This window comes from Homo sapiens, chromosome 8 (assembly GCF_000001405.40).
Source record: "Homo sapiens chromosome 8, GRCh38.p14 Primary Assembly".
NCBI classification, from domain to species: Eukaryota; Metazoa; Chordata; class Mammalia; order Primates; family Hominidae; genus Homo; species Homo sapiens.
The window spans coordinates 96,597,284-96,612,074 of NC_000008.11; the positions used below are offsets into that span (position 1 = coordinate 96,597,284).

Below are 14,791 nucleotides of genomic sequence, written 5' to 3' on the forward strand. Positions count from 1 at the left end.
GAGGCTCCCCTCTGGGAAGCTGGACCAATTCAAAGAGAGTGGCATGGGAGCTCTCCAGTGAAACGTACAGCTCTGTATTACAAAGAATAAAACTTCAATGAGAAATGAAAAATTTCAGTCGAGGGGATGTTGCCTACATTTGACACACCTCTCCTGTGTGCTCAAAGCTTCTAGTCCTCTTTTCGGTGTTTCCCTCTTCAATATAAACAGGCAACCAAGGCTCCCCAGATATTTAGGAAAAACTTGTAACATGAGAGAAAGAGAAACCCCCAAATTGGGAGAGGACAGCCACTTACAGGAAGAAAAAAATTCACAGAAAAACATAGTAAATTCAGAGAGAAAAGCAGATGCTCGAACAATGGCACAAAAACAGGATACTATAAAACAGGAATGTTCTGAGACATAAGAGTTCTTAAGAGTGTGGGACTGTCGTGTCAAAAATGAAAAGCTCATTTGGAAGGTGAGAAGACACAGAGGATATTCATTCATTGAGGAAGTATTTCTTAATCACTTAGTACATGGGAGAACAGGCACCATTCTAGGTTCTAGGGACACTTCAGTAAATAAAATCTAACAATGTTTTCTCTGGCGATAGGCTAATTGTATTTATTCCTTCTGTGTTTCCAAATTCATACATGCAAATGTATTTTAAAAAGTATTATTTTTATAAGTTGTCTAAGTCCATTCAGGTTGCTATAGCAAAATACTTTAGACTGGGTAATTTATAAATTTATTGGTCTCAGTTCTGGAGGCTGGGAAGTCAAAGATCAAGGCACAGCAGATTTGGTGTCTGGTGAGGGCTTTCTGACTACTTTTTAGATGGTGCCTTCCTGCTGCATCCTCACATGGCAAAGGGGACAAACAGTGTCCCTCAAGCCTCTTTCCGAAGGGCACTAATTCCATTCCATGAGGGCCCTGCCCCCATGACCTGCTCATCTCCTGAAGTCCCTCTTCTTAATACTATTGCATTGGAGATTAGGTTTTAACACATGGATTTTGGGGAGACACATTCATACCATAAGTAAAAGAAAATGTTATTTTTAAAAAAGAAAATAAGGCTGGGTGTGGTGGGTTACGCCTGTAATCCCAGCAGTTTGGGAGGCTGAGGTAGGTGGATCACTCGAGGTCAGGAGTTCGAGAACAGCCTGACATGGCGAAACCCCATCTCTAATAAAAATACAAAAATCAGCCAGGCGTGGTGGCGCATGCCTGTAATCCCAGCTACTTGGGAGGCTGAGTCAGGAGAATCGCTTGAACTCGGGAGGCGGAGGTTGCAGTGAGCTGTGATTGCACTATTGCACTCCAGTCTGGGTGACGAGCAAAATTCCATCTCAAAATAAATAAATAAATAACAAAAAAAAATAAGAGAATGAGCATGGGAACATAGAGACAGAACCGGTGCCCTGGTGGAGAGATCAAGGAAGGCTTCAGAGAGGGGGTGATATTGATGCTGTACTTGATAGTGAGAGCAGGAGTTTCCCAGAGGGAAACAGGCCTTGGAGTAGTCTATTTCAGACAGGGAGAACAGTAGGACCTGAAGGAGGAGATATTCAGTGGGGCTTCGAGATTTCTGGTTTGAGCAAAAGAGTTAATGTTTTTAATAAAGATATTAAAAGCAGCAGAGCCATCTGAGACAGATTGCCCATCTGTCTCTATCTTTTTTTTTTTTTTTTTTTGAGACAGAGCCTCACTCTGTTGCCCAGGCTGGAGTGCAGTGGTGGTATCCCAGCTCACTGCAACCTCCTCCTCCCAGGTTCAAGTGATTCTCCTGCTTGAGCCTCCCAAGTAGCTGGGACTACAGGCGCCCACCACCACACCTGGCTAATTCTTTTTATTTTTAGTAGGGATGGGGTTTCACCATGTTAGCCAAGATGGTCTTGATCTCCTGACCTCGTGACCCACCGGCCTCGGCCTCCCAAAGTGCTAGGATTGCAGGCGCGAGCTACTGTGCTTGGCCCTGTCTTTAACTTTAAAAGTGCCAGCTTAAGGGGGATTTTCTACGTTACAAATCTCTTCCCTCATACAGATTCATCCCACTTCTAGGTTGATGACTCATATTGGTAACTCTTGTGAAACAAGAGGGTCTTTAAAAGCCCTAGACTGAAATTTTTCATTTCTCATTGAAGTTTTATTCTTTGTAAGAAAATGATTCATTGTAGGAACAAATTAAGCATATTATATGTAAAATGTTGATAGATAATTAGGTCACCTGATAAAACAGCATTATATTTCTGGACCCATCATTATTAATGACCTATATTTACGTAACAGTTTATATAGAATGCTTTAAATATGTATCATGTCTGTTAGATATGTATCTGTGATATATATGTACCTTCGTGGGTTAGTTATTATTAGCCCCATTTTACAAATGAAGAAACCAAGACTCAAGTATTACTTGCCTAAGAGTACAGAGCTAATAAATGCCAGAACCAGTACTAGGTTTGTTTGCTTTCTTAATACCAAACCCTGTATTTATTCCAACATGCCCTGCCATTTCTTCTGTATAATAATGAATATATATGTTTTGAAATTAAAGGAGACAGTTGATAAATTAAGAAATGAACCGGCCAGGAGCCGGGCACAGTGCCTCATACCTATAATCTCAACACTTTGGGAGACCCAGGCAGGAGGATCCCTTGAGCTCAGGAGCTCGAGACCAACCTGGCAACATAGTTGAGACCCCGTCTCAACAACAAAAAATAATAATAATTTTTTTTTTAATATTAGCTGGGCACAGTGGCACATATATTTAGTTCCAGCTACTCAGGAGGCTGAGGTGAGAGGATTGCTTGAGCCCGCAAGTTTGAAGCTACAGTGAGCCATGATCGCACCCCTGCACTCTGGCCTGGGTGACAGAGCAAGAAAAGAAAAAGAAAGAAGTGAACCATGGCCATTGCACATGTTTCCAGCATGTGTTGCTTTCCCACCTGCTTATTACATTGATGCGATTCTGTGGAAAATACCCATTTTCTTTTGTTTGAGGAATTTAGAGGTATTTATCAATGTGTTGTCCGAGGAAGCCTGGTTAGTTTGAGTTACAGAGTTGGAGTTTGTTTGAGTTGTTACAAATTTGACAAATGATCAACTTAAAAGGAATGTTGTATTTGAATGTCAGAAATTCTCAAATGCTATTCTAGTGAAAAGGCAACAACAACAAACAAAAATCATGCTCAGGTAGAAAGTCACTTGTTGAACAAATACCAGATCAGAGCCTGTTATGTCTTAGACACTATGTTAGGCACTCAGGGGCCTATTAGGAAGAAGGCAGGTACAGTGTTTCATGGAAAGGTCACAGTGGCTTGGATTGGAGTGGTGGCCCTGGAACTGTAGAACGGTGTTAAGAGTGGAGGGATAATAAGAAGATAAGATTGATAGGACTGGATAATGGATTCAAAAACAAGGTAAGGAAGAGGAAGTCAGAGTTCTGGTGTGTAGGAACAGAGGGCTTCAGTCACTGCAAGGTCACAGGAGGAGAAGACAAAGGGACCATGAGTTCTGGTTTGGACATGTTCAGAGGTGTGTTGTACCTTTGAGTCATTCAAGTGAAAATGCCAGGAAGGCCACTGGATATGTGACTTTGAGAGGGGTGGTAAAAGCCGATGATGTAAATTTAGGTATCATCTGTGCTTAACTCATCATTTATTGACATTGTGGACATGGATGAGGGAGAAAGTGTAGAGGAAGAAGAGGCCTAGGGACAGACCTTCAGATACTCTTTGATATTTGATGTTGAGGTAGAGGAGGATAAACCAGCAAAGGAAACTTAGAATAGCCAGAGAGGTGAGGGGGAAGCCAGGAACTCTTAGGAACCCAAAGAAATAGGGTTTGTCCGGAAGCAGATGGCACTTGACAGTGTGCAGTGGTGCTAGGAAGTTCTTCTACTAGAGGAAGGCGATTCTGAAGAGTGCCATTGGGTGCTGTGGATACTGGTGACCTTAACAAAACAGTATTAATAGTGATGACAGGGAAAATGCTCCTGGAGGGAGTAGAATGCAGAGTGGAGAAGATGATGAGGACAAGACCTAGTGAGTATCCACCCCCACTGGAAAAATCTGCCTGTAAAACCAGGAGAGGGCCAGGCACGGTGGCTCACGCCTGTAATCCCAGAACTTTGGGAGGCTGAAGCAGGTGGATCACAAGGTCAAGAGATCCAGACCATCCTGGCCAACATGGTGAAACCCCATCTCTACTAAAAATACAAAAAATTAGCTGGGTGTCGTAGCATGCGCCTGTAGTCCCAGCTACTCGGGAGGCTGAGGCAGGAGAATCACTTCAACCTGGAAGGCAGAGGTTGCAGTGAGCCCAGATTGTGCCATTGCACTCCAGCCTGGTGACAGGGCAAGACTCCATCTCCAAAAAAAAAAAAAAAAAAAGAAACAAAACAAAAACCCGGGAGAGAGGGCAAGGAACTCACATGAAATAAGGAGTCAGCCATAGGAGAGTTTTCCTGTTTGCATTTTGTTTTGTTGTGGGTTTTTTTAATTTTTATTTTTGGCAGAGTCTCACCCTGCCACCCAGGCTGGAATGCAATGGTGTGACCTCTGCTCACTGCAACCTCCACCTCCAGGTTCAAGTGATTCTCCTGCCTCAGCCTCCCGAGTAGCTGGGATTACAGGCGTGCGCCGCCACGCCCAGCTAAATTTTTGAATTTTTAGTAGAGATGAGGTTTCACCATATAGGCCAGGCTGGTCTCGATCTCCTGACCTCGTGATCCGCTCTCCTCGGCCTCCCAAAGTGCTGAAATTACAGGCGTGAGCCCCTGCACCTGGACTGTTGTGTTCTTAAAATGGAAATGGAGCACGTTTCAGTGTAGATGGGAAAAAATCTTGTCAAGCAGGGAGAAAAGGAACATGCAAGTGAAAGAAGGGCTACTTGAATGTTCAGGATAATACTATTAAGGAAAAACTTGCTAGACTACCCACAGACACCTTTGAAATCACTTCTTCATCATGGTGAAGACCACAGGAAGCTTTGTGCTGAAGTCTTAAAGAGCCAGCATTTTGAAAGAACATGATTCTGTCAGTGTCAACGTCAGGCAATAGTGCCTGATAATGGAGACATCTGTGTCATGATTGCCATGCTCAGTTCATCTTCACTTACTTTTCCAGGAGCTGATGAGGATGTAGAGAGTCCAGAGCTGACAACATCTCGACCACTTCCAAAGATACTGTTGACTAGTGCTGCTCCAAAAGTGGAAACCACGACGCTGAATATACAGAACAAGATACCTGCTCAGACAAAGGTGCGTTCTATTTTCCATTGCATTGCATTATCAGGTTATTACAAATGCTTCACTTTACTGACTGTACACAACAGTCCCTTTTGTATTATTTTCTTCTTTTTGGAGCTACCCATCATGAACTATGTACACAACAGTTCTTTTAAAAGACCCCACTTAAAATTGTGTAAGGACAAATGGTCTTCAGGTGGTGTTATAAATGGCTCTTCCTTACTCTTTTTGATCATTTTGGCATTTACCCACTTATAATCTCTGTCATCCAGGCTCAAATTATATACAACTATTTTTCACATGGCCCTCCTTCTTAAGGAACGTCTGAAGCCCAGTTAAGAAGTAAAGCCCTGTTTCTTTGGTTTCCTGGTTTGTAGGTTACGTAATTAGAAGACTCCAGGTCACGTCTTGAGGTGGTCCTAGTCTCACTAAGTCATTTCTCAGTCTTCCTAGGCCGACCATCAGTACTATGTAATCCTTGACCTCTCTCGATGATGATGAACCTGGGTACATCTGTATATATTCATTTTGAGAGCTGACTTATTAAGAATAAGGTCTTTGGCCTTAGACCTGAGTAAAGTGACCAGCTAATGAAAACTTGGAGCTTGTGATTTTGACCTCGTTAATATTGCAGTTAGCTGACCATCCACTAATAGGTAACCCACTGAAGTTAGAACATGCATATTAAAGTCTGGCAAAGACCTAAGTTTCAAATCCTGGATCCAGTCAGGTTTCTTAGCTTCTGAACCCATTTCCTATGGGCCTTGAAGAAGATGAAATGTGAGTGCATGTAGCATGGCACCTGAGACCTAGTCACCATTCTGTAAGCATTAATTGAATTGGTGGAGCAGAAGAGACCAAGCCAATTCACCAAATGAGCATGTGTAATAACTGTAGTGGTAGACTTTGCAATCAGTGCAGGGGTAACATATGGCTTAAGAAAACTCAGAAGCACAAGCATCCCCTTTTAGAGCTCACCCATCTGTTGATTAGAAATGAGATGCTGCCAAGCTTTAGCAGCAGACAGGGTATGGATATGGAAGGCTGTTTGATGAAGGTGGCGACAGGCCTTCCTTGGAGTAAGAATCATCCCGTCTTCAGGCCAGAATGCATGTGGGCTTTTCTTACCCTTGCCCCAGAGTACCTTTGTTCTTCCTCCTCCTCCATCCTCCCAGTGCCTGTGACTGGAATGGTGAATGGCACCGCTGGATGGGTTTCTGCAGATGTGGAACAGCCAGGAAGCCAGCCCTGTCCAAATTGAAGTGCTTTCTGTAGGACCAAGAAGGGTCAATTACTATTAGTGGTAGACTTCACAAGCCAGGCGGTAGGAAGGCAGGGAGAGCCCTATGAGAACTGAGACCGACTCACCTGGCATGTGCTGGATCCATGCATAAAAGCTACTGTATCAATGTTTCAGTTGAGTGAATGAAACAAAAAAAGAAAGGGAGAAATGAAAAGTGCAGGTGCAATTGGTGGTACGATGACTGCCTCAGAGTGTGTGTGGCACAATTAGCTACTATTTACTAAAGATGCATTTGGCTCTTACCACATTTTTATTTGACCACTTCTCTTGACTAAATCTGCTGAAGTCAGAGACAATTAGGACTCACTAGCTTGAGGGAAGCAACTCTCCTGGGTGAGTTTTGGCTTGTAGTGATAGAGAGTTCTATCCTAAGCAAGACTTAATTTGACATAGAGTTCTGTCTGGTTTGTTAACAGCAATGGATTGACCACTAATTTAAGTTTTTAAAAATTGGTTTTAAGGAAGTAATTGCATCAGATCGAGATAAAAAATGTAGAACTTTGGCAGGTGAATTTAAAAATTAAGGAGCCCAAAAGATTTTAATACATTTATATTCTTACTATCATTTGTGTTCAATATAGTAATAGTAGAAATTCATCCATTTATAGGAGATTTGTTGAGTGCTATTCATTATGTGTCGAACACTGTTTGCAGCACTGATAATGATAATATTGATCATGAATAACATGAATAATAATGATTAAATTTTTCATTTTGCTGTTTATGTGGTACAGCCGAATTGAACATTGCCTCTAGGATACCATTAGTGTAGATTTTGCTTTTCAATTGGTCTCACAGTGGCATTAATGTCACTGTTACGGATATCCTATCTAGTTTGTTGTAAATTTAAGTGACTAAAATGCACAAAAGGGAATCTCGTTATTTGTTTGAGAAGAGCATCACTCATAAGCTTTTACTTCTGTTGCATTTCCATGGCATCCAAACAACCAGACATGGATGTGGCAGATCTTTACTTGGCCTCATTTAATCATCCCTGCTGTCTTTTTGCGGATTCATTTTGCACATACATTCATACAAGAGTGAAGGTATTTCAGATTAGTTCCATATTACCAAATGGTATCTTCTTAGTCAAGCCTTTGCTTCCATACGATAAAACATTTTGACTTAAAAAATGAATTTTCCACCCAGAGCCGCTTGAGGCTTGTGCACCTCCAGCTGCAGGGCGGCTCCAGTTCTGTGGAGTCCTTCAGTTCCCACACTCTCAGATCCCTGGATTGCACGCTTTGTTCAGCCTGCCGGATCAGAGGCTGAGTCAGAGGAAACTGAAAAGATCAACTCTCTTAAATGACTTTAGGGACTCAATCACATGGTGAAACCATATGATTTGTAATAATAATGGGACAAAGATGATATGGATATGGATGAATTAAACTCAGTCTCTCATATTACAGTAACTACTTAGGTCCATTTCATTTCTCACCAGAACTTGTTTACCTCTCTCCCTAGTCACAAACCTGAGTATTCACCTATTTGAGATTTCTCTTCCCTTTTCTAACTTGTAATAGTAAAGCAGTACTAATGAGCAGTGAAAAGGTCTCTAGACTAGAACCCAGATAATCCATTCTCTGACCTGTTGTCTGTCTTTCCACAAGGCAGCCAATTAATGATGGGCTTTTCATGAGAAGAATAGAAAAATCTCAGCAAAAATACTGCCAATGAGCTGCTCTCTTCTGCTTTACTTTGGTACCTGAAGGCCTGGGAAGGCCTGTCGTATTTCCTTCTCTCATAGTAATAGAAAGGACGGTGACATTTTCAGTGCATATTGTGCACCAGTGAAATGAAATTTCTCTATGGCCTCTGCTTTTTGTAAGTCATGGCAGGTTGAAGTTTAGGTAGTACAGGGTTTCTTGCAATTTGGGAATGACAGTTACTCTTTATTATACTTTATTACATACCACCTTCAGTAGAAGTGTAGCGTTCTGCTCACTGAGACAGGGACCTATTGATCTTACATACCCTAGAGTACAAATGGATCCACCTGGTCTAGCTTATGGTCCTTCCTAGCAATGAGGGTGGCCTTAAGGTGCAGAAAAGAAGTATGATGTGGTCAGGGTCCCACAGGAGCTACTTGCACAGCCCAAGAAGGTGTGAGGTCTTTTCTTCTTACACTCTTTAAGCCTCTAGACTTAACTAGCAGGCCGCCATTTTGGATGAACTCTAGCCTTCAGAAAGCAATCATTTGCTTTGCTGAGCCATGGTATGTTAGACTCTGTGGAGTCCTAATGAAGATGGTAGGAAGCTCTCAGGAACTTAGGAAGAGTAGTAGAGCTGAGAAGGATTATTGTCTGCAGTATTTTTTTTGAGACAGGGTCTCACTCTGTTACCCAGGCTAGAATGCAGTGGCACAATTATAGCTCACCGCAGCCTCCAACTCCTGGGATCAAGAGATCCTCCACAGGTACACAGCACCATGCCTGGCTAATTTTAAAAATTTTTTTGTAGAGACAAGGTCTCAGTATGTTGCCCAGGTTGGTCTCGAATGATCCTCTCACCTTGGGCTCCCTACCCAGCCACCTTTAGCCTTTAAACCTCAATGAAGTTGACAGTGTTTTCATCAGTGATGCTGGCCGACAAGAACTTCAGACTGTTAGAGAATGAACAACTCCTTTGAATGGGACTTCTCTAATCCACTGGTTCTTAAACTATGGAATTGTCTGGAGAACTTAAATAGCAGTAAAAGTCAGTGCCAGCTACATAGTGCCCTGTATAGCTCAGAAGTGAAGGAGTAAGGAGAACTGGGGCAGTGCTGTTGGGTTGGAGCAGTCAGAGGGAGATGGTGACCTGAAGTCAGACCAATTGAAATGGAACCTCTAGTAGTAGGACTGTATTTTTTTTAATGCCTTTCAGGTGATGTGGATCAGCGTAACCTTGGGTGATTCACATAAGATGGCCAGTGATGGTGCTGAGAGTTAGAAAGGCAAGAGATAATTTCTGTGTAAATAATCCTGGGGGTTTAGTGAGGTAAAAGGTCAGAGAAGGCTTCATTAAGGACAAACAGATAGTAAAAGAAGTGCAACATTTGGACTGGGGATAGAACTGCATGAACTAGAGCAGAGTTCCCCACCCGCTTCTGGGGCCACGGACCAGTAGCGGTGGCCTGTTAGGAACCAGGCTGCACAGCAGGAAGTGAGTGAGCATTACCACCTGAGCTCCGCCTCCTGTCAGATCAGTGGAGGCGTGCCATTCCCATAGGATCTAGGAGCGCAAACGCGATTGTGAACTGTGCCTGTTGTGCTCCTTATGAGAGTCTGAGGTGGAATAGTTTCATCCCCCTCCATCCCCCCCACCCTCCCATTCATGGAAAGATTGGGGACCGCTAAACTACAGCACAGATACTAAGAACCATTTTTGATAATGAAGAGGTGGTGGAAATGACCTCACAGGGTTTTCTACTGGGAGTAAGTGGTGGGTTGGGTGAGGACTGGAAGCTACCCAACACCTGCAGTTCTGAGGTCGATGCGGGATGGGAGCTGGGCTGTGATGTGCTGGCCACCTGAACGAAGCTGTGGAAATGAGAACCCAAGGGAAGAAGTTAATGTGAGAGCAAGATGGGAGGCAAATTGACAGTGCTGTGACATGGAAAACATATGATAGAAAATGTGCCGTAATAGATAACTTGGTAACACCCCAAAATACAGTGCCATTAATGGGAATAGAAAAGGAGGTTGATCTGATTCAGCAGTGAATTAATTACTACTTAGACTTGACGAGTAGAGTTAAAGGTGGTACAGCCAACAGTTAATGTCCTGCAGGCTGCTGGCTTGTTGGGAATAATGCTGACTAGAGATGCGGCTGTGAGAGGTATTCCCATAGATTTCTGCTTGAGCATTGTGCAGTGTCCGAGACCCAGTGAGTGTCGTTCATTAGACAGGTGAGGAAATCAAGGTGGAGAAAAGAAGTATGATGTGATCAGGGAGGAGCTACTTGCGCAATCCAAGTCCCTGGAAGTCCTGGTCTAGGGTTTGCTGAAGGTAATATAACTAGGGGGAAGCATTAGGAGTAAGGCTTGGGGATTGCTCCCCACAGAGTGGGGACAGGAAAAGCCCAGTCAGGCGTGAGAGAATATCTGAAAGGGAACTGTTGTCCTAGTGCCCTGTGTAGTTCAGAAGTGAAGGAGCAGGGAGAATTGGGGCAGTGCTGTTGGGTTGGAGCAGTCAGAGGGAGATGGTGACCTGCAGTTAGAAGAGTGGTGAGAAAGTAGAAATCTTAGGAAATGTCCACTAAAACAACCTCACCATGTCCTTAGGATTATTATGAACTCACTAGCTCTCCGACTTGCCTGATCATGCGATGGGTGTTGTGCAAACCATGAACTACATGGGTCCATCATGACACTCACCCATTGCTATAAACATCACACAAGTGATTATTCCAGTTATTTCCTAAACTCATTCTTTGGGGGAAAAAAAAATTTTGGAATATACTCATCTATTATTTCTTCTTTCCAACACATTTCCTTAAATCAATGTAATCTTTCCCTGTTTCCCATACCAGTCACCTGAAGAAACTGATAAAGAGAAAGTTCACCTCTCTGACTCAGAAAGGAAAATGGACCCAGCCGAAGAGGATACAAATGTGTATACTGAGAAACACTCAGACAGTCTGTTTAAACGGACAGAAGTCCTAGCAGGTGAGTAGCCTGGTGGGCCTCAGGTGGGAGGGTGCCTACATAGGCCTCTGTTAGTCTAAGTGATATTCAAAAGTGCAGCAAAGCTTGCTGTCATCTTTCTGCTGAAAGCAGTCTTGTGGGTGCTTGATTCCAGAGCGAGAAGCAAGAGGCTCAGCAAACATTGTCTTTATTGTCTGCCAGCTCCCTCAACCTACCTCTTCGCCAGCCATCGGGCAGGGGATAGGAGGTAGCCTAAAAGAGGGAAAGTTAACATCTGAATTGATCCAGAACAACTGGATGTAGAGAGATGGCAGAGTGTGGAGATCCATCAGTCTTGCTCACAGGCATTCTACATTTCAAAATAAAGAGAACGAAAAGTTCTTTAGGGGAAGGCAGTTCATATAAGTACTGCCCAAAGTGTTAAGAACGTTGTTTCTATTTTAACTTAATTGGATGGAAGTGCAAATATTTTAAAGGGGAAAACTTTCAAGATTTAGGCACACTTGGTAGTCTCAAATCCAAGAATAGAAATAAATTTGCATGCTTTTTTTCATGTATACTCTTTAAAATTTTAAGTCAATTATACTATGTTCTCTGTTGAAAAAAAGCAGTTAGAAAATTAGAATATGAAATGTGAGTTCTGAAAAGACAAAAGTAGTTTTCAAGTATGGAATTAGTTAAGATCAAGGCCAGATTTTTCTTATCGAGGTTTTTGGGTGGTATTATTAACACTAACCAAAGAAATTACTGTACCTTCCTGAGGAGTTTCAGATTTGCATAGTTACCAGGTTGCTTCATTGAATCCAGCTTTTTTTTTATTGGGGTTTTCAAATTAAGCCTTTTATAAAAGTGTAAGTAGATTAGGCTTGACAATAAAGCTAATGTCTGCAACCCTTGAATCTCTTCTAAAGTAATCTTCCTTTTGGTTGTTTCAGCTGTCATTGCTGGTGGAGTTATTGGCTTTCTCTTTGCAATTTTTCTTATCCTGCTGTTGGTGTATCGCATGAGAAAGAAGGATGAAGGAAGCTATGACCTTGGAGAACGCAAACCATCCAGTGCTGCTTATCAGAAGGCACCTACTAAGGAGTTTTATGCGTAAAACTCCAACTTAGTGTCTCTATTTATGAGATCACTGAACTTTTCAAAATAAAGCTTTTGCATAGAATAATGAAGATCTTTGTTTTTTGTTTTCATTAAAGAGCCATTCTGGCACTTTAATGATAAAATCCCATTGTATTTAAAACATTTCATGTATTTCTTTAGAACAACATAAAATTAAAATTTAACATCTGCAGTGTTCTGTGAATAGCAGTGGCAAAATATTATGTTATGAAAACCCTCGATGTTCATGGAATTGGTTTAAACTTTTATGCGCAAATACAAAATGATTGTCTTTTTCCTATGACTCAAAGATGAAAGCTGTTTCATTTGTGTCAGCATGTCTCAGATTGACCTTACCAAGTTGGTCTTACTTTGTTAATTTATCTGTTGTCCCCTTCCTCTCCTCTGCCCTCCCTTCTTGTGCCCTTAAAACCAAACCCTATGCCTTTTGTAGCTGTCATGGTGCAATTTGTCTTTGGAAAATTCAGATAATGGTAATTTAGTGTATATGTGATTTTCAAATATGTAAACTTTAACTTCCACTTTGTATAAATTTTTAAGTGTCAGACTATCCATTTTACACTTGCTTTATTTTTCATTACCTGTAGCTTTGGGCAGATTTGCAACAGCAAATTAATGTGTAAAATTGGATTATTACTACAAAACCGTTTAGTCATATCTATCTAATCAGATCTTCTTTTGGGAGGATTTGATGTAAGTTACTGACAAGCCTCAGCAAACCCAAAGATGTTAACAGTATTTTAAGAAGTTGCTGCAGATTCCTTTGGCCACTGTATTTGTTAATTTCTTGCAATTTGAAGGTACGAGTAGAGGTTTAAAGAAAAATCAGTTTTTGTTCTTAAAAATGCATTTAAGTTGTAAACGTCTTTTTAAGCCTTTGAAGTGCCTCTGATTCTATGTAACTTGTTGCAGACTGGTGTTAATGAGTATATGTAACAGTTTAAAAAAAAAGTTGGTATTTTATAAGCACAGACAATTCTAATGGTAACTTTTGTAGTCTTATGAATAGACATAAATTGTAATTTGGGAACATAAAAACTACTGAATAAATCATGTGGCCTAATATTGAAAATGTCACTGTTATAAATTTTGTACATTTTTGATCAAATGTACATCTCCCCTTTGCTAACGGCCGTCTGCTCTCAAGGATGACGTGGGTTTGATTTCTAAGTGTTTCACAGTGTCTGTAAATCAAGACCAAAGAGCCTGTCGATGAGACTGTTTATTACCAGATTCACTTCTGAATTGGCCAGAGGAAATCTGAATGTATTATCCTGTGTGTGTCTAGGTAGAGATATTGGAAGGCTGCCAGGGGATTTCGAAGTTTGCAACCTTTATAGGATAACTGATGGCAATATTAAGACAGACGCCTGCTTTTGCAAATAACTTACAAGACTGTAAATTCCAAAGATCTGAATGGGGCTTTCCTGATGTTGGTATCTAAGGCTTAGGCCTATAGATTGATTTACCTTTGGAATTGTGCTCCAAATGTCTACTGAAGCTTAACCGAAGAACTAATAAATGGACTACAGTAGCTCACGTTACAGGGAAGGAGGGTAGGCAGGGAGGCTCTGTGTGTTAAAATGAGGGTCTCACTGCTTTAGGATTGAAGTGGCTGGAAAGAGTGATGCCTGGGGAAGGAGATGGAGTTATGAGGGTACTGTGGCTGGTACTTTCTGTACTAAACATTTCCTTTTTCTATTTTACCACTAATTTTGTTTTAAACTGTGAGCCGTCCAAGTCAGAAGAAGACAGCAAAAAAAGCAACTTTTCCAACATACAATTTACTTTTAATAAAGTATGAATATTTCATTTTGAGAACATTCCCTGGAATTGCCACATAATTCATTAAAAACATTTTTTTAAGCAACACTTGGAACAGTGTTTACTTTAAATCCTTAATGGCCTTAATTAATTCTCAGATTCCTGCCCCATCACTTACAGAACCAATTCACTTTAGAGTGACTAAAAGGAAACGATAGCCTAGCTTTCTAAAGCCACGCTGTGTCCCTCAATTACAGAGGGTAGGAATGGGTATACCTCTAACTGTGCAAAGCAGAGTGAAATTCAATTCATAGAATAACAACTGCTGGGAATATCCGTGCCAGGAAAAGAAAAATTTCTGGCAAATATTTTGTCACTGCTGTAAAGCAAAATATTTGTGAAAGTGCCAAAATAAAGTCTGTCATGCCAAAAGTAAATCATTGTATAGACTGACATCCAGTTTTCTTCAACTGTACACTTTCTGCTTAGTTTTTTTTTTTTAAGATGCAGTAAATAATACTATAAAAAGTGTTAGTAATGATTACTGAGTTCAGGAAAATTTTGGTAAAATGTAAATATTAAAGCCAATGTGAAAATTTCCTGTTTCCTTAACCACATGTAAACGATTTCTCTTGAGTGAATATGGCTTTGTGTTTGAGAGACTTGAGATAGTCACACTGTCCCATTTTCAGCCCGTAGGGGGAATAGGAAGCACTTGGGTTTTATTTTTGTTTTTCAG

General features: G+C 41.3%; 1 protein-coding gene across 4 annotated transcripts in view; it reads left to right on the plus strand.

Annotated features, from left to right (window-relative positions):
- SDC2 (syndecan 2) overlaps positions 1-14,507 on the plus strand; it is a 117,978-nt gene extending 103,471 nt beyond the window's left edge. For all 4 annotated transcript variants that reach the window (NM_002998.4, XM_047422076.1, XM_024447228.2 and 1 more), the window contains 3 exons: positions 5,112-5,245; positions 11,052-11,187; positions 12,102-14,507. In NM_002998.4, coding sequence (NP_002989.2) covers positions 5,112-5,245; positions 11,052-11,187; positions 12,102-12,265 — 434 coding nt within the window. In that variant the 3' untranslated portion in view covers positions 12,266-14,507. The remainder of the gene's footprint in view (positions 1-5,111; positions 5,246-11,051; positions 11,188-12,101) is intronic.
- The last annotated feature ends 284 nt before the right edge of the window (positions 14,508-14,791 follow it).